Here is a 17,983-nt window from a genome sequence, read left to right on the forward strand (position 1 = left end):
GCCAGCCCGACTCCTTTTCCCTCATTAGGATTCCACACCCCCCACCCCCACATGTCAGGGCACAGCCGGGCTGACCAGCTCCACCCGCTCTGCTGGGCCCTCACTGAGTCTCAGTCTTCTCATGTGTGACACAGGCAAGGTGAACATGGTGGACATGTGTCAGGCGGGCGCCTGGGCCTAGAGGAGGAAGGAGCAGGGCCATTGTGGGGGCGCAGGCTGGGCCTGGCTCCTGGGGCCTGGGCCCAGCTCCTGGGGCCTGGGCCCAGAGGAGGAAGGAGCAGGGCCGGTGTGGGGGCGCAGGCTGGGCCTGGCTCCTGGGGCCTGGACCTAGAGGAGGAAGGAGCAGGGCCGGTGTGGGGGCGCAGGCTGGGCCTGGCTCCTGGGGCCTGGGCCCAGAGGAGGAAGGAGCAGGGCCGGTGTGGGGGCGCAGGCTGGGCCTGGCTCCTGGGGCCTGGACCTAGAGGAGGAAGGAGCAGGGCCGGTGTGGAGGTGCAGGCTGGGCCTGGCTCCTGGGGCAATAATTGCTGTGGGCGGGGAGTGCCAGGGCTGGGCCATGGCCCCCTAGGCTCTCTGTGCACAGCCCCCCAGTAGGCCCGTGGGACTTGCAGGCTCTCAGCAAATCTCCCGTCAGAAGCTGGTGGCTGCAGGTTTGACACCCCGTCGTCCCATGGAGTTAGCGAGCACCCATTCTGCACCTGCTGTGTACGCGGCAGGATCCGGGAGGCAGTGCCAGCCCTCAGGGAGGACGGAAGGGTGGATGGATGCGTGGTGGCTGCTCCCGGCTGCAGGGAGCATACAGCACAGGCGGACTGGACACCAGCTGAATAGCCTGTCCTGCGCTGTGCTGGGGTGCAAGGGAATGAGCCACGTCAGCCCCGACCCAAGTGGAGCTGACCAGGGCTGCGTCCATGAAATGATGGAGGAGCCAGGTGTGGTCAGAATTTGCCAGGGAACAGTGACCCTCCAAGAGGGCCGCTCAGGGAAGCTTCATAGAGGAAGCAGCGCTTGGGCGAGGACTTGGGGTTGGGGGAGGGCCAGGAAGGGGAGCTGCGTCCTTCCAAGACAAGGGGGCTGGAGGGCTCGGTGGGAGCAGAGGCGGGGCCGCTCCATGAGCTACACAGCACCAAGTCTGCGCCTGGGTGGTCTCAGGTCCCAGAGCCTCCCTCTGGCAGGGCAGGCAATGAGGCAGGTGGCCCATCCGGGGATCACTGCCTGAGCAACCAGCAGGATTTGGTCTCCGGCCAGCAGCAGGGAGGAAGTTAACATAAATCCATTCCAATGCAAATGTCAAACCAACCGTGCGCAGGAAAACTTAGCAGCTCTGAATGTCAAGGAGGGAGTCCCGGCTCTAGCTGGTGGCGCGGCTTGGCTGAGCTGTTTCCTCCAGCTCCTGGGCTGTGGGAGGAGGCTGCTGGCGTGCGGCCACTGCCTGGCGCAGAGGGGCTGCCAGGACCTTTGAGAACTGAGGCACACCCGGGAGATGATCTGGGGACTCGTCGCTGGAGGGAAGGAGCCCCAGCAAACACAGCCCAGTCCAGGGACTCTTGTCTGCATAGCCTCTGAGACACGCGGGAGCTGGTGCGCCCAGGGGGCCTCCCCTTGAGACCAGGGCTGCTGATGACAGAGCCAGGATGCAGAGCAGAAGGCAAATCCTGCAGCGGCAGGATGGCATCTGAGCCAAGGCTGAGGAAGCAGCACCAGAATTCGCCATCAGGCCGGGAAAAGGCGGAGGCGCTGGTGGGCCTCAGTCCCCCGGACACCACCTGGCTGCATTATGAGAGATCTCCTGTTTGGACAGGGGAGGGTCTGGGGCCACCGCCTGGGTGTGGTGCCCGGGGTCCTGAGTCCAGGCGGGGGCTCCACCCTGAGGCGTGCGTGGGTGACGGGCTCCCAAGACATGACCACGCTGGGTGTGAAGACAAGGCCACGTGAGGCCGGAGGACAGTGCAGGCCAAACCGAGGCCAAGCGACCACTCCTCATGAGGCTGCAGGGACCAACCCGGCACGCAGAGAGGCACGAGGTGACATCCGAGGCAGGGAGCACATCCAGGGCCACGAAGGATGGCATTGCGGAGAGACCGGGCGCCGTGTGCTCTCCACCCTCAGAGCCACCCCCAGACCCTGCTCGCCCTTCAGTCCCCCTCCAGCAGGTGCGGCCTCACCTCTTTCCCTGCCCCCACTGCATGCAGCAGGTGCTCCATAGGTGCTCCTGCTCATGTGAGAGGCTGGTGCAGCTCCCTCTCTCTGCTGGCTGACGGCAGACCCAGGGGTCCCCGCCCAGGGTCACTCCAGGCAGGAGGCGACACTCGGCACAGTCCTTGTCTCCTGAGATGAACTCTTGAGATGAACCATTTTCCTTTTAAATTGAAAAAGAAATGAAGTGTTTTGCATTTTATTAAAGCAGACACGGCTGCAGCCGGGTAGGGCTCCCAAGGACTCAGCCAAGCTTGGGTGCTGGGACTTTCCGGTGGTCACTGTCAGAGAATCCCCAAGCCTGGGGACATGGCCCCGGCTGGAGGGAAGGAGGGGGAGCGGATGGAAACAGAACCAACACCCGCAGGACGCAGCTCCAGGCAGGGGACGGGGGGCGGTGTAGGGGGCACTGGTTCAGGGTAACTGGGGGGCTCCAAGGAGGAGGCGGGGCTGGAGGTGGACTGGGAGGGGCCAGGAAGTTCAGGAAGGTTCTAGAAGAGAGTAGAGAGGGAAGAAGGCAGGTATGGGGATGGCATAGAGAGCCGCCCTCGGAGGGTCCCAGTGCTGCTGGGATTTTCCCGTGGGCCATGCAGACTTCAGGGCAAGGAGCACCACAGTTGGGGGGTCCGCGGGCAGCAGCCATGAGGGAGGAGGCGGCCGGGGCTGCAGGAGGAGGTGCGGGCCCAGTGGAGGGGAGGGGCTGCAGGAGGAGGTGCGGGCCTGGCCGGGTGGAGGGGCTGCAGGAGGTCCTGGACAGACAAGCTCACAGGAGCAAGTGCGGAAGCCCAGCTCTGTACACACGGAAGAAGCTTCCGGTTAGAATCCTTAAACCGGCAGCTTGTGGGTTGGTCTGAGAAGATCCAGGTGCTTACAACTGGTGTGTGTCTTAGGGGCTCCTCCTCAGTGAACTCCTGTTCCGCCTTTGAGAGCACCTGGGTCTCTCAGTGGTGTGGACATCTGAGGTTGGTGGTTGGGGCAGGTGGGTGCTGGAAGGTGAGAGGTGCCTGTTGTCTGCCCCTCAGGGACCCCTGGTGACCTGGTGGTTCTGAGTCCTGCCAGGAGTGGGGACCGCGGGCGGCCAGACTCCGGGTTCTGCCCACAGACTGGCTATTTCCCTGGGCCCCCTTGTTCTACTTTTGGGCCTCAGTTTCCAATTCTTCAAACCAGCAGGTTGATGCTGTGGGCCCTTCCTACAGCACAGTGGTACCGCCCCAGAGCCAGGGGAAGGAGGCGAGGAGGGTGTGGACCAGGCGCAGGGCTGTGTGGGGTCAGCTCCCGGGTGTGGAAGGTGATGGAGGGGCAGAGAGTGAGGAGCAGGAGCTGACCGGGACAGGGGCTGGAGCGGGGCTGTGCTGGCATGTCCACACTGGACACAGGATGAGGCCATCTGGGAAGTGCCAGAAGGTGATTCCAAGACCTCCAGGCCATGAAGGATGAGGGAGCCCTGGAATCCCCGGCCCAGCGCCCAGGCCTCAGTATGCTCAAAACTGACAAAGTTCTTATAGCTGCTAAGCCCAGTTTTGGGCCCCAAGGAGATGACCATGGGCTTGTCAAGGTCCCCTCTGCTGGCCAAGACCCAGCCCAGGAGGAAGAGGGCTCTGCCCTTGTCGTTTGTTTAAATTGTGAAATACACAGCATAAAATGTACCATCATCACCATTTAAAGCATGAAGTTCAGTGGTTTAAGTACAGCACATTCCCACTGTTGTGTGAACTTTGCCACCGTCCATCTCCAGGACTTTCATCTTCCCAAACTGAGACTCTGCCCCCATTAAACACTCACCCCCATTTCTCCTTCCCAGCCCCTGGCACCCACCTCCTACCATCCGTCTCTGAACCCGGCTACTCTAACACCTCCTAGAGGTGGAATCGTCCTACCATCCGTCTCTCTGAATCTGAATCCGGCTACTCTAATACATCCTACAGGTAGAATTGTACAGTGTTTGCCCTTTTGCGACCGGCTTATTTCACTTTGTAAAATGTCCTCAAGGTTGTCAGTGTTGTGGCCTGTGTCAGGATTTCTCTCCTCCTGAGGCTGAGTAAATTCCATGGCACAGATGGACCACGCTGGCTCATCCTCCTGGGCTGCCTCTGCCTCTCGTGAATGACGCTGCTGCCTACCTGGGTGTGCACGTCTCGGCCAGACCCCGCGTTCAGGTGTTGGGGGCCTGTGCCCCGACGTGGGGTTGCTGGGTCGTCTGGTAATTTTATGCGGAATGTTTGGAGGAGCCGCTGCCTGTGTGTTCTCTGCAGCGGCTGCGCCATGTCACCTCCCCATCAGCAGCGCTGGGCTCCCGCGTCTGCACGCGCTCACCACGCTTGTTCCTGCCTTTCTTTCCACAGCTGTCCCATGGCCAGGTGTGTTTGTTAAGTAGGACTCAGCCCTGCACCCAGAGCACCCTCCCTCAAGTGCTCATCCTGCCCCCCACCCTGTCTGGCGGCGGGCCCCCAGCTCCAGCCACGGTCTCCTCCCAGGCATCGGAACTTCCCGGAAGCCAGTTTGCCCTCCCAGTCCAAGTTAACGTGCCCTGGGAAGCCCATTCAGACCCAGAGCCAAAACTGGGTCACCATGGGATGCTGGGTGTGCATGGCGAGCTCCGGGTCCTCCCACAGCTCCAGTTCTGAGGGGCCCACACCAGCTGCCCTCTGCTCCTCCGTCAGGAATGGGCCCCGAAGCTAGCCAGGATGGTCAAGAGAGGTCTTCCAGAGCACCCTGCTGAGCAGTGCCAGGCTGGAGGGACGCTGGCTGAAGGGCGCCAGCCGGGCACCCACCCGCCACCTCGGGCTGATGGAGAGATGACCCGCCCTGGCCCTGTCCTCGTTGGCGATGGATGCCCCTAGGGACAGCGGCGTGAAGCTCTGCCCCACTGTGCCCTCCCCCAGTCACCATCCGTGCACAGCCCAGCAATGGCCCGGGGCAGCTGCCCTGGGGGGCCCCGCACGTCCCTAGCGCCCTCCTCCCAGCACAAGTGCCCCGAGTCTTGAGCAGGCGTTTCTGTTCGCCTGTCCCTCTCCGGAGCAGCAGGCGGTGACCTGTTGAATTCTGTAATTCCTGCGCTGGGTCTGGGCTTCAGGCTCCGTGAGCCCAGGCTCCTGTTGGACTCAGTCTGTGGGAGGTCTTGGGGCGAGCGCCTGTTTGGTGAATGATGAATGAGTGAATGAATGAGTGAATGAGTGAATTCGTGCAGCCACCTGCTGCAATGTCTCTGGGCCTGTTTTCAGGCCTGTCATAATCAGGGGCAGAGCCAATTCTGAGAATTTAGGTCACAATTCTAATCCCACGTGTCCTTGGGCCTCCAGGTGCTGGCCAACCCCTGCATACCAGGGGTGCTGGTGTCCAGGTGGCTGCTGTGGCCTCAGCAGAGGGCAGGCAAGGAGCGGGCCAGGGGGACTGGACAGCCCGAGGCCACCAGGCCAGGACAGAGTCCAGGCTACAGCCGACTGAAGCCATGGAACGGCCCCTCCCGGTTCGGCCCCACAGGAGCCCCCACCCAGGAGCCAGGAGCCAGGCCTAGAGAGCCTGGGATCTGTGTGCCTGTCCAGCTTCACCCGCCTTGCTCGCGGAAGGGCACACACAGAGGGACGGGGACTAACGCATGCACCTCCGTGGTGTGCCCAGAGCTGCGGCCGTGGCCTCCCTGTGGGGCAAAGCCAGGTTGTCTCAACTCAGCTGTAGGTTTAGCCGAGCAGTTCCCGCCCAGGGTGCAGGTCGGGTGGGCCTTTCAGGGCCTCGGCTGCCAGGTGTAGTGGGTGCCCACGGGGAGGAGTGGGTGCCCACAGGGAGGAGCGGGTGCCCACGGGGAGGAGCGGGTGCCCATGGGGTTCTCCTCTGGGTGAGCCCTGCAACCAGGCAGGCTTCCTAGGCTTGGCCACCAGCTGGGGGGTGTGGGGTCTGTCCCTGGAGGGGGCCGTGGGGTCCATCCCTGGAGGGGTGTGGGGTCCATCCTTGGAGGGGGCCGTGGGGTCTGTCCCTGGAGGGGGCTGTGGGGTCCGTCCCGAGAGGGGAGCGTGGGGTCCATCCCCAGTGAGACCCCTGCAGGCCCAGCTCATGGTGGGGCTCCGCACTCTCTGGCTGGCCCTGGACAGGGGACTCTTGAGTTCCCCTGGAGACCCTTTGGGCAGATGGGCCCCCCACCATGCTTCCCATCACCACGTTGACCATGGCCCCCTCTAGCCCTTCTCAGACCCTCACACGTGCCTCTGTCCCCGTGTCCCCTTCAGACTGGAGCATTCGGGGGCTCCTGCAAATGCCCCTTTGTGAGTGAACCCGCAGGTGTGGGGAAGCGCCCAGCAGCCCTCATGGAACTCGGGATCACGGCAGGAAGGGGGCAACGTGGATGGACACCTGCACCCTGTGTGGGGGTATAAATCACCCTACAGGGCGCTCGTCACCTGGCCAGCCAGGTAGGATGTCAAGATCGCCACGGAGCCCCCCAGCTGAGGGCCTCAGCGAGCGTGGGGAACAGGAGGGCTTGTCCAGAGGCCAGAGATGAGCAGAGGAAGATTTGGGCAGGGAGTGGGGGCAGGGAGACAGACAAGCAGACGGGGGCCAGGCCAACAACAGGAGGTACCCAAGTGGACACATGGTGACCGGCGATCCTGCCCGGGCGAGCTGATGGACCACAGGTGCCCCAGCGGCAGGCCCAGGCCCCAGCATCTTTCTGGGTGGCTGCAGGCCTCAGAGGGGAGGGAGAGCTCGGCGCCCCAAGAGAGAGCCCAGGGACCACAGCAGCCCCACAGCGGCCCCTCCTCTGGCCAGAGCCCTAGGACCCAGCCGCCCCTGCTCCTCACTCACTGTGGCCCCCAGCCCCACTGTTTCACAACACCCCAGCTCGTTCGTGCCCTGAGGAGAGGGACCATCCGTCCCCACACCCGGTCCACAGCACCGCACCCGACTCAGCCCCAGCATCGACCAGAAGTCCCCGGCCCTCAGACCGGCCGCCCAGAGACAGTGGGAGTGAGGAGGCCACACACCGTCCAGGTTGAATCACTGCGTTTTACTGAGTGCACAGGTCCACCTGGCGTCCGAACTCGTCCCCGTGGCAGCAGGGATCCCCAGAACCTTCCACGGCCATCGCGGCCGCAGGACCCCACACCCGAAGTCCCCCGCAAACCCGCACTGGCGCATTCTTACGGCTCTGGCATCAACCTGTCCGTGTGAGTAAGTTAATATCTCAGCTAATCTGTTAGAAAACTAGAGTTCATTCCCTGGGCGTCTATCCCTAGAAAATGGACGGTGCACAAAGTTGAGATTGAAGTGTGCGGGGTAACACATCCACCAAAAAAAGGCCTGGTCACTACGGCACAAGGACACATACAAAATGGTCAGAAGTGTACGTCGGTACTGAAGGCATTATGAAATGTTCTTTGGAGCATGAACAAAAGTGCAGACAGCCAGAGGCAACGGCGCAAATGGGGAAGCTGCAGCCACCGTCACGGCCAGAGGATGGCAGACTGCAATGGCGTGGGGCGCGGGCATGGCGGGCACACGTGGGCCGTGTGGATCCCGGGCAGAGGGATGGCGTCCAGCGGGACCACCAGCTCTGGGCGCCTCAGTGCGAGACCCCTCCGTGAGACCCCTCCTGCCCTGCGCGTGTCTCTGGAGCCCGTCCCTTGGGCCCCTCGCCCGCCCCACCTGTTCGCAGGGTCCAGGGCGTCCGTACCTGGCACAGCCAGGGGGCATGGGGCGACCTCAGGGAGTTCCTGTCCACATGCATTAAGGCAACGACTTTGTAAAACCCAGGCGGAGTTGGCGTGTGGCGATGGCGATGTGCACGTGCCTGCCTGGTAGCCCCGGGGACCGGCCCCTCCTTGCTGGCGCCTGGCCGAGAGTCAGACGCTGAGGACCTCTCAGGACGGGGCCCCTGGCCAGAGCCAGTCTCCTCGGCCAGCCAGGGGCACCACGGCAAGTGTCCAAGCCCAGAGCACACTCAACTCCACCCCACAAACGCCTTTTAAAACTCTGAAGAGGCCCCTCCATCCCAAATGGTCCCCTCCCGTCTCTCCTCCTCCACCGTTGCCCACAACCTCCCCCGGCGATGTCACCTCCTCCCAGGGTCGGCCGTCAGCCCCCACCCTTACAAGACGGCAAAGTTCAGCAAACTGGAACCCCCATTCACTCATGCTCCCGGGTCATGGAAAGCTCCTGGGTGTGCAGCTTCTCTAGGTCTCCCGGAGGGACAGGAACCTGCGTATTCCCTCGACCCCGGAGTCCACCATCCCACATCCTTCAGGAAGCCGCCCTGGCTGTCTCTCCGGCTGCTTAGCGCTTTGCTGGGGCCGAGGTGGAGACTGCGCGCTGGGTGGGAATGCAGGATGGCTGCCCGGCACAGCCACACAGGCTCCCCAGGCGGCCATTCCGTCCTGCAGCCCCTAAAGGCCCTGACCAGGCCTCTTCACGCCACCCCCATGCCCTGGACATACGTGCATGTGACCTGGGAGTTCTGCATGGGTGTGGGGGTTGGGGGAGGCACCGGACAGGATCAGAGGACACTGGGGGCACCCGTGCACTGAGCACCCACCCCTCAGAGCTCAGCCCCCTGCTGGGCACCCTCCACAGCAGGTCCAAGCCTCGTGAGCTGTCCCTCTCACACCACGTCTGCTGGGCACCCTCCATGGCAGGTCCAAGCCTTGTGAACCGTCCCTCTCACACGTCTGCCGGGCACCCTCCACCAGGTCCAAGCCTCGTGAGCCATCCCTCTCATACCACGTCTGCTGGGCACCCTCCACGGCAGGTCCAAGCCTCATGAGCCATCTCTCTCCCACCACATCTGCCGGGCACCCTCCATGGCAGGTCCAAGCCCTGTGAACCATCCCTCTCACACCACGTCTGCCGGGCACCCTCCATGGCAGGTCCAAGCCCTGTGAGCCGTCCCTCTCACACCACGTCTGCTGGGCACCCTCCACCAGGTCCAAGTCTCGTGAGCCGTTCCTCTCACACCACGTCTGCTGGGCACCCTCCACAGCAGGTCCAAGCCTCGTGAGCCGTCCCTCTCACGCCACGTCTGCCGGGCACCCTCCACGGCAGGTCCGAGCTTTGTGAACCGTCCCTCTCACGTCTGCTTTGAGGGTTTGTGTCAATGGGGCTGTGCAGCATCAACCTGTGATCTTGCCAATGCCCCAGCCTCTGCTCTGTACGGCATTCATAGCTCAGGAGGGCGGGGACAAGGGCGTTTCTGCAAAGCTCTCACAGCTCCTTCTGCTCCTCGGCTTCTGGGAAGCAACTAGAAATAGCTGAGAGCCCAGCTCTTTCTAGAGAGAAGGGGGTGTCCTTTATGGGGGTCCCTGACTGTGGGGGACCGAGCCCAGCTGGAGTCCTCCTCCCCTTCTCTCCGGCAGCAGGTCTCTCTGGCAGCAGGGTCTGGAATCTAGAAACACTGAGACCTCCAGCCCCGAAGGGGGCAAACATTAAACCACACGCCCTGGCTGTGCCTCTCCTCCGGGCGGGACTTGGGGTGATCAGACCCACAGCTCAAAGGGTGCCCCCTGGAGAAGCCCTCACAGTGCCTGGGGTGATTTCAGCCTCCAAGGGGGGGCTTGAGACGAGGCCCCCCAAAAGGTAGGGGCATCGCTGAGGGGCAGCGTGTCCTCCGGTGGGGGGTGTTGGGCACCTGCCCTGCTCAGACGGCTGTGTGCAGGAGGCATGGGAGGAGCCCTCCCCCAGCGTGTCCCAGCCGTGGTGGCAGCTGGAAGACTCACGGACTGTGATTTTATGCAGAGGGAGAAGGAGAAGCTGGGCCAGGAAACCACAACAGGCAGCAGCACCTGCCTGGGCTGGGGCCTGGGATTCGAGGCTGAGCCACCCATCCCAGGAGGGCCCAGCACCTCCAGGGCAGACCAAACACAGGACCCAACCGGACACCCATACAGACACCGGGGCACCTTGGCATCTGGTAGAGCCCCTCCTCTGGATGGCTGCCAGGCTGTGGGAGGGAAGGGCAGCACGAGACCCTGATTGGGCTCTGCCTGGCGCTCTGCCACTGCGGACCAGGAGCCCGGACAGTCGGATACCCCACGACGGCGCTTGACATTCCAGCATCACCACGACCCCTAAAGCCACAATTACTCCTTGTAGCCCCTCCCCAGGCAGCTTACACTCAGCAGGGTCAAAGAGAAAGACCAGAGACAGAAGGGCTCCAAGGCTGGAAGTGCGAGGAGTGTGCATGCACGCGTGTGTGTGTGCATGTGTGCAGTGTGCTCTGTGCACTTGTGTGTGCTGTGTGGTCTGTGCACCTGTGTGCATGTGCTGTGTGGCCTATGCACTTTGTGTGTGCATGTGTTAGTGCTGTGTGTGGTCTGTGCACTTGTGTATGTGTATACTGTGTGTGAGCTACACGTGTGTGCATGTGTGTGATCTGTGCACGTGTACATGTAAGCGTGCATGTGTATGCCTGTATGCAGGCATGTGTATGCACGTATGTGTACTGTGCATGGTCTATACAGGTGTGGTCAGTGCACATGTGTGCTATGTGGTCTGTGTGCATGTGTGCAAGCGTGCATGTGTACGCCTGTATGCGGACATGTATGTGAGCACGTGTGTGTGCCAGTGGGCACGTAGGGATGTGCACTCTAACAAACACTGCGGGAGCTCTTTGCCATGAGGTGGCACTGGTCCTTGGCCACGCTCATTCACGCAGACACCCGAGGCAGCGCCGCACCACCTCCAGCCTCCTTCCCGCTGCACTTCTCTGAGGTGGGGCAGTAGGTGGCTGCACTGCTCAGGCTAGAGTCTGGGGGGGCCCAAGACAGACCCTCTACCCCTTTGTCTCCCAAAACAGGGCCCCGCAACCATCCCAGGACGTGCACCTTCCCTCTTCCCAGGGCCCAGAGACTTCCCAGGGGACACACCACACGTTCCTTGCTGGACATGAGTCTGGCCTCAGTCCCTCCTGCTGGGCGGCCAGCTTCTGGGAGGGAAGGGATTGGCCTGTCTTCCTCATCCTGCAGAGCCCCAACCTGTGCCCAGGTGCTCATGCCTCAGCGGCCCCATGGGAGGAAAGAGCAGGCGGGGCCTCACCTCGGGGGAGGAAAGAGCAGGTGGGGCCATACTGGGAGGGAGGAAAGAGCAGGTGGGGTCACACCTCGGCAGGGGAGGAAAGAACAGGTGGGGCCACACCTTGGGGGGGGAGGAAAGAGCAGGTGGGGCCATACTGGTGGGGGAGGAAAGAGCAGGCGGGGCCACACCTGGCGGGGGAGGAAAGAGCAGGCGGGGTCACACCTGCAGGGGGACACACAGCACAGCCTCCCTCCACTGCCAGGTCTCCCTTCTCCAGGGTCCTGGAGTCCAGGTAGCTGAGACGGAACTGGGGACACGGGGAGCGGTGGCCGGGGCTGGTGCTGCGTTGGGTGGGACGCACTCATACCCCTGCCTGTGGGCCCCGCTATGGATTCCCTGCCCCATGACGGGACGGCAAAGGGACATGGACCCCAGGCTCGAGCCAGCCCAAGGGAGACAGCAAGGGCACCGCCGTGAAACGCTGCCCCCAAAACACGTAGCGATGCCCACACCAGAAGGGATGCTTCATGCCACCGCAGGGCCCGAGGCCACACACGCTGCCTTTGGGAACAGAGCAGACAGGCAGTGGGAGCCTGGACAGTGGCTTCCGAGGCCTCCCAGTTGGCACCTTTTTGGGACAGGCTCCAGCACAGGGAGGGGTGAGGAGACAGCCCAGCGGAGGCACCTCAATGGCGACAGGGCCTGGGAGTGCCCTGGCCGGGCTGGGGGTAGGCAGAGAGGCCAGGGCAGCAGCTCCCCACAATGGACGCCAGACATGGCTCCCCGAACACCCTGAGCGCCAGGACCCCCACCAGCCAGGGGCGTACGACCCTCAAATGCTGCTTTCAAAGTCCTCTCCCTCAGGACTGGTTCCCCTGCTGGCCTCAGGGCCTCAGGACCTCCCAGCCAAGCCAAGTGCACTGAAAACGCAGGTGGAGGAGAAACGGGCCCAGGACTCCCCTGCACTTGCTCTGCAGGAGTATTTGCGCCCACGACCCCAGCCCTGCTCACTCCCAGGGAGGCCACTCTCCAGGGAGCCCAGGCCCGCCTGCGACGCCGTCACGCCAAATGCCAGATGCTCCCGGGGTCTGGTTCTTAAGTCTGGAGCTAGGGACTCGCTCCCGCATTAGAGCCGCCTGCCCCAAGGGCCACGGTGCCCACAACAGGACGGGCATGGGACGGTGCACCCGAGGCCCGAGACCCCAAGAGGCCCCGCTAAGGAATCGGTCAGTGGAGAAGGGGCCATCAGCTCCAGGGGGCAGGAGAGCTAGGGAGGGCGCACAGCTGGGCTGAGGTGGGAGTGGTTTCCTCCGGAAAGGCGGGGAGGGCGGCCCTGTGCTGACGGTGGAGGCTATCCTGGCCCGCTGCATCATGGCCCAGCCCTGCCCCAGGTCTGTCGGGGCACTGGTGGGACACAGGCGAGGTGGGGCCCTGGCTAAGAACTGTGAGGCCTGCTCACCAGGTGGGTCTCGCAGTGCCGGCACCCGGCCAGGGCAGTCAGGAGAGAGGGGAGGACTTGGGGTCCTGCCCCCCCGGTCTCCAAGGCTGGGGTGCTGCTGGCTCTCACGCACCCACAGAAAGGCCAGGGCGAGGCAGCTGGAGCCCCCAAGGACCCCCTTTTTGAAGACCCTTTGGAGCCGGCTCCCTGGCCCCACCGTGAGCCAGGCCCTCCCTCTGGAGGCCAAGACCAGAGGGCTGGACGTCCACTCTGGCTCCAGTTTGGTTCCCAGGCCCCACCCGCTCCTCGGCTGCAGGCGAAGGTCTCCACCTCGGGGCTGGCTTCCATGGAAAGAGCCCTCAGATCCCAGAAGGTACAGGGAGAAGACGCCAACCAATAGCTCTGTATTTGGGCGCCCCTGAGGTGGGGAACAGGAAAGCCCGCCGGGCAGGTCAGGTGTGAAGGCAGAGGCCACGCACAGCGGCCGGCCACACCCGCCTGTAGCTGCCCGGAAACCCCACCGGGACCCAAGGCCGCAGGTCCTCACCAAACAGGCCCGCCCTTTGCGCAGGTCCTCAGGGAACAGGCCTGCCCTTTGTGCCTCCCCTGGGCTCGGCTGAGACAACCCCCCGCCTGTTGCCACGCTGGCAACACCCCGTCATCACTCCCGCCCCTCCTCACACCGGGCTGATGTCGGCCGCGGCCCTGAGCAGAGTGGACAGGGCAGCCTTGCTCCTGCACGCTGCTCCTGGAGCCACAGGGCCCTGCCCAGCCCTCCAGCCCCTGTTGGAAAATAACTTTTGTAAAAGGTCACTGCCAGGAGCCCCCATCCTTCAGCCCACATGGGCCCCTCCAGGGCCCACCCTTCCCGCCACACTCAGTTACTGTAAGAAAAGGGCCCCAGAGGGTTCCCGCCTCAAAACCTCGGAGGCACCGTGCTGAGGAGGGCCGCGGGCGGGTCCACTGGCCCAGCGCCGCCTCACTTCCTGGGCCCGGCCCAGCCCACGTCACCAAAGGGACCCTCGCCGGTGGCCGAGCGTGGCGGGGGCCCGCACGGGGTACAGAGGTCGGAGTCGGTGTCTGACTCTCCCTCCGCAATGTAGGGCCTGACTTTGGCACAAGGCGCCACGGCCGCGTAGCAGCTGTTGAGAGCATCCAGGTTCTCCTTGGACTGGGAGATGCTGAAGCCGCTGAAGGAACGCTCCAGCTCCTCGTGGTCCACGGACGGGATGGAGATGGACGTGTCGCTGTCCCGCAGGTTCCCCTCGGGGGGCCTGCAGCCCGGGGTGTCCTCCTGCCGCAGGAACTCCATGCTGGCGCGGTTGCCCCCGCCGTAGGCGGACAGCGACCGCTCGTGGGCAGGCGGCGGCGGGATGCGCACCAGGGAGCCGTGGTCCCCCACGGGGGAGGTGCCGTGGCCCTGGCGCGGGTGGCTCTGTGGCTGCCAGGAGGTGGAGGGCGGACACTGGACAGGGGGCGCGGCCGGGGGCGCCGAGAAGTTCTTCTGGCCCGTGGAGCTGCTGGAGCGCACGATCTTGACAATGCAGCCGTGCCTGTCGACATGCTCCCGGCTGTCTTCCGGGCTGTGGTACGGCGGCGCCGGCTCCGGCTCTTTGGCCCCAAAGTAGGCCTCGGTCTCTGTCGGGGGGATGCCCATCCGCTGCATGTAGATATTCACCAGGAAGTCCAGCTTCTTCTCCATGGACAAGACCTGCAAAAGGGGCTGCTGGGCTGGGGTGCGAGGGCCCGTCCCAGGAGATGTGGGGACCCAGGCTGCTCCCAGGAAATGGGGGGGCCCAGGCTGGTTCCAGGAAACAGGAGAGACCCAGGCTAGTCCCAGGAAACGGGGGACCCAGGCTAGTCCCAGGAGATGTGGGGACCCGGGCTGCTCCCAGGAAATGGGGGGGCCCAGGCTGGTTCCAGGAAACAGGAGAGACCCAGGCTAGTCCCAGGAAATGGGGGACCCAGGCTAGTCCCAGGAAATGGGGGGGACCCAGGCTGGTCCTAGGAGATGGGGGGACCTGGACCACTCCCAGGAAGTCGGTCGACTTGGGCTGGTCCCAGGAGGTGGGGGGACCTGGGTTGCTCCCTGGAGAGGTACAGGGAGGGGGGATCCCTGCTCCCTGGAAGCTGGAGGAGCGGGAAGAGGAGGCCCAGGAGCAGCTCTTCCTCCTTCCCAGACCCCTAGGGGCAAAGCCTCCAGCTCCACGGTTGGGGCGTGTGTTCAGAGCCAGGCCCTCCTGCTGCCCACCGTGGAACCCCCTTCAGGAAAGCCCCACAGGGCAGGACCTGGCAGTTCCTTACTCACTGCTCAGGCCCGGCTCTCAGAAGCAGGCCCCAAAACAAGGGTCCTCTGCGGTGGTTCCTGAGAATGCACCCCCAGAAGACAGCGGCCAGGGTGTCGGGCAAGGAGGACAGAGAGGAGGAAGGCCAGGCAGGTACAACTTCCGGCACGTTCCACAAGGAACCCCTGAGGGATCCACCTCTCAGCAGCCCCCACCCAGGACTCCTGGGGACTTTGGCCCTTGGGTACTGTCAGGAGGGAAGGCACCCAGGCCGGGGGTGGGAGGCTCACGGTGGGGTGTGAGGGGTCTGCACAGAGCAGCTGTCAGTGGTGACAGGGCCATGTAAACCCTAGACTTGAGGAGCCCTCCGTGGCACCCAGCCCCTGAAGCCCACACTGCCACAGGTTGACGGCAGGCACCACAGCCCTCCAGCCCCGCACCCCTCCCGCCCAGCCTCTCGCACCTGCTTCTCCACCTTCCCGAGCCGTCCCATCATGCTGGGGTCCTCGGGCAGCTCCGCCTCGGCCGGGCCCTTGGTGCGGTCCTTGTCCGTGATCGCTGGGCCCCGCCCCACGATCTGGTCCACTCTACCGGGAACAGAGACCCCAAAGCATGAGTTCGGGTGGGTGCAGCAGGGCCCCTGCCCTCTCCTCCTGGACCAGGCCACAGTGCCCCTGGGTCTAGGCTGCAGGCTCAGCCCAGAGCCGACCAGGGGGCAGTGGGTGCCAGGACAGATGGACGGGGTGCGCCCCGTTCTCAGCCCGTCTTCTGGCACCGTGAGGTTCTGCTCCTGCCCGCTCTGTCCCCAAGGGGCCTGGCACATTAGCGAGGAGTAAAGTAAGGACGCTCCCACCAGGGCCGAGTCGCCCGGCTCCTCTCCGTGGGCTCCCGGCTCCATACCGCCCCCTCCAGCCAGCCCCACCTGCTCACCCTCTTCCCTGCCCAAGGCCTATTGGCCCCACAGCCCACGGAGGGTCTCCCACTGCAGGGCCTGGAGCCCACTCCAGAGGATGCCCCTCCCCCTACCCGTGCCCACCCCGGAGCTTTACTCCTACGTAATGTGCCACTGAAGCCGTCGGCCCCACCGGGTCTGATGGGGACGGAGTTAAATGTCTGCGGCGGGGACAACAGAAGCAGAAAAGGCGTGAGAGCTGCGGCTCCATGCACCAGGACAAGGAGAGAAGGCCCAGAGCAGCACAGGAACCAACGCACAAACCAGAAGAGGGGAGACAAAGCTGCGAGGGTCTGTGTGTGCACGTGTGTGTGCACTCGATGTGCATGTGTGTGCCCTCATGTGCATTGCACAAGTTTCTGTGTGCACGCGTGTGCATGTGTTCATGTGTGCAAGAGTGTGCACGTTTGCGTGTGTGCATGTGTGTGTGTAGGATGCAGAATTCAGCTGAGCTGATCTCCAATGAGGCCACAGGTCACTCATGACAATAAGAAGGGAGGGAGGCTCCTTTGCCCTCAGGGACGGGGGCTTCTGACCAGTCTGGTATCCACAGAGTCACGGCCACTGCTGGGCTGGCAGGGGCCACCACGGTGGGTGTGCGCTGAGGCCTGCAGCTACGTGGGAACTCACTTGGAAACAAAGACCCTGCAGTAAGTCTACAAAAGCCCAGCTGGACAAGGGCAGCTCAAGACGGGGTGTGGCTGAGCAGGACCCACCCAGGAGAGGCCACAAGCTCCCAAGTCTCCCCTGGACTGGGGCCTGGTACATGAAGACTGCCCCACACCAGCCGACGGGGCCAAGTCCTCACTTCCTGCCACTGGGCTGCCCTACCTGCCTCTGATGGTGGGGGAGGGACTTCCTGCCACTGGGCTGCCCTACCTGCCTCTGATGGGGGCGGGACTTCCTGCCACTGGGCTGCCCTACCTGCCTCTGATGGGGGCGGGACTTCCTGCCACTGGGCTGCCCTACCTGCCTCTGATGGGGGCGGGACTTCCTGCCACTGGGCTGCCCTACCTGCCTCTGATGGGGGCGGGACTTCCTGCCACTGGGCTGCCCTACCTGCCTCTGATGGGAGGGGGGAGGGTGGGCCAGGGGTGTTATCTTCTTTCTGTTGCGAGAAACAGAGAGGGTTTCAGGCTCGCGTCGGCCACAGTGCAGCTCCTCATGCTCCGCGGGGCTTCATGCTGGACTCATGCAATAGGGCCAGGAGGGCGGGAGGGGACGGCGGGAGGGGACCCTCTGGCTCCGAGCAGACGCCAGTGGCGATGGAGGAGATGGGAGTCCCTGGTGTTCGGGGCATCCACACAGTCCAGGCAGATGCTCAGCACCTTCGCCCCTGCCACATGACGGGCCGCCCGCCTGCTCAGTCCCAATAGGAGCCCTGGCCACGGGCTCAGCCTGGAGCTGCTGCTGGGGGCTCCTCCAAGGACCCTGTGCCCCTCCTGCCCTGGGCCCCTGGCTGGAGGAGACTTGATCCCTGAGTGCTCAGTGCCCCGTGAGGTGGGGCAAGCGCTCCAACTGTCTCCCTGGCCCCCTGTGTGAACCTGCACGTCTCCTAGCCACAAGACCGTCCGAGCTCACAGCTGTGGATGCCCAGCTGCTGTCTCTTGCGGCAAGGCACAGGAGGACGGAGGACCAGCCCCAGGGCACAGCACTCTTGGGCATGGGGGACACCACAGAGCAGGGAACCCGGCAAACTCCGTCCGGGGCTACCCTGGGTTGGGCAGTAACAGACACGGCCCTGCCTGCTCCCAGAAACTCCGTTCTCACGGGAGGAGCACGGGGCTGACATGTCCAGTGCACAGACACTTGGCCTCACAGGCAGAAACCCCACCACAGAGGGAGGAGGGGTCAGACTCACCCCAGACGCCGTCCCCACCAGCTCAGGCCTGGGCTTCATTTGCCCAGACACTGGCATTGGCTGTACCCAGAAACTGTCTGCCCTGAGCTGTCAGGGAAGGCCAGGGGTCTATGCTCAGCCTCCAGGCCTCCGCCCCAGGGGCTCTACCCTCCCTCAGCCAATCAGACTTGCCAGAAGACAGGGAACCACCGTCATCTGAATAGTCCCTGGGAGGCAAGAAGGCCTTGGAAAGTCTGAGTTAATCACTAAAGAACTGGCTT

At 63.8% G+C, this 17,983-nt stretch overlaps 1 protein-coding gene across 13 annotated transcripts in view, besides 3 other annotated features; it reads right to left on the bottom strand.

The window, feature by feature from the left end:
* Positions 833–1,594: an enhancer, noted in NCBI's record as "H3K27ac-H3K4me1 hESC enhancer chr20:62025225-62025986 (GRCh37/hg19 assembly coordinates)". NCBI's record gives its function as "activates a minimal SCP1, AML or CMV promoter by ChIP-STARR-seq in naive H9 embryonic stem cells {active_cell/tissue: H9 hESC(naive)}" and the evidence as "EXISTENCE:reporter gene assay evidence [ECO:0000049][PMID:30033119]".
* Positions 7,169–17,983, bottom strand: part of KCNQ2 (potassium voltage-gated channel subfamily Q member 2) — a 72,448-nt gene continuing 61,633 nt past the window's right edge. For all 13 annotated transcript variants that reach the window (NM_001439004.1, XM_047440144.1, NM_004518.6 and 10 more), the window contains 2 exons: positions 15,374–15,497; positions 7,169–14,336 (listed from right to left, as the gene is read on the bottom strand). In NM_001439004.1, coding sequence (NP_001425933.1) covers positions 13,605–14,336; positions 15,374–15,497 — 856 coding nt within the window. In that variant the 3' untranslated portion in view covers positions 7,169–13,604. The remainder of the gene's footprint in view (positions 14,337–15,373; positions 15,498–17,983) is intronic.
* Positions 12,095–13,046: an enhancer, noted in NCBI's record as "H3K27ac-H3K4me1 hESC enhancer chr20:62036487-62037438 (GRCh37/hg19 assembly coordinates)". NCBI's record gives its function as "activates a minimal SCP1, AML or CMV promoter by ChIP-STARR-seq in naive and primed H9 embryonic stem cells {active_cell/tissue: H9 hESC(naive and primed)}" and the evidence as "EXISTENCE:reporter gene assay evidence [ECO:0000049][PMID:30033119]".
* Positions 16,857–17,151: a silencer, noted in NCBI's record as "tiled region #327; HepG2 Repressive non-DNase unmatched - State 20:ReprD, and K562 Repressive non-DNase unmatched - State 10:DNaseD". NCBI's record gives its function as "represses a minimal TATA promoter and a strong SV40 promoter by Sharpr-MPRA in HepG2 and K562 cells {active_cell/tissue: HepG2 | K562}" and the evidence as "EXISTENCE:reporter gene assay evidence [ECO:0000049][PMID:27701403]".

Source organism: Homo sapiens, chromosome 20, assembly GCF_000001405.40.
Source record: "Homo sapiens chromosome 20, GRCh38.p14 Primary Assembly".
NCBI classification, from domain to species: Eukaryota; Metazoa; Chordata; class Mammalia; order Primates; family Hominidae; genus Homo; species Homo sapiens.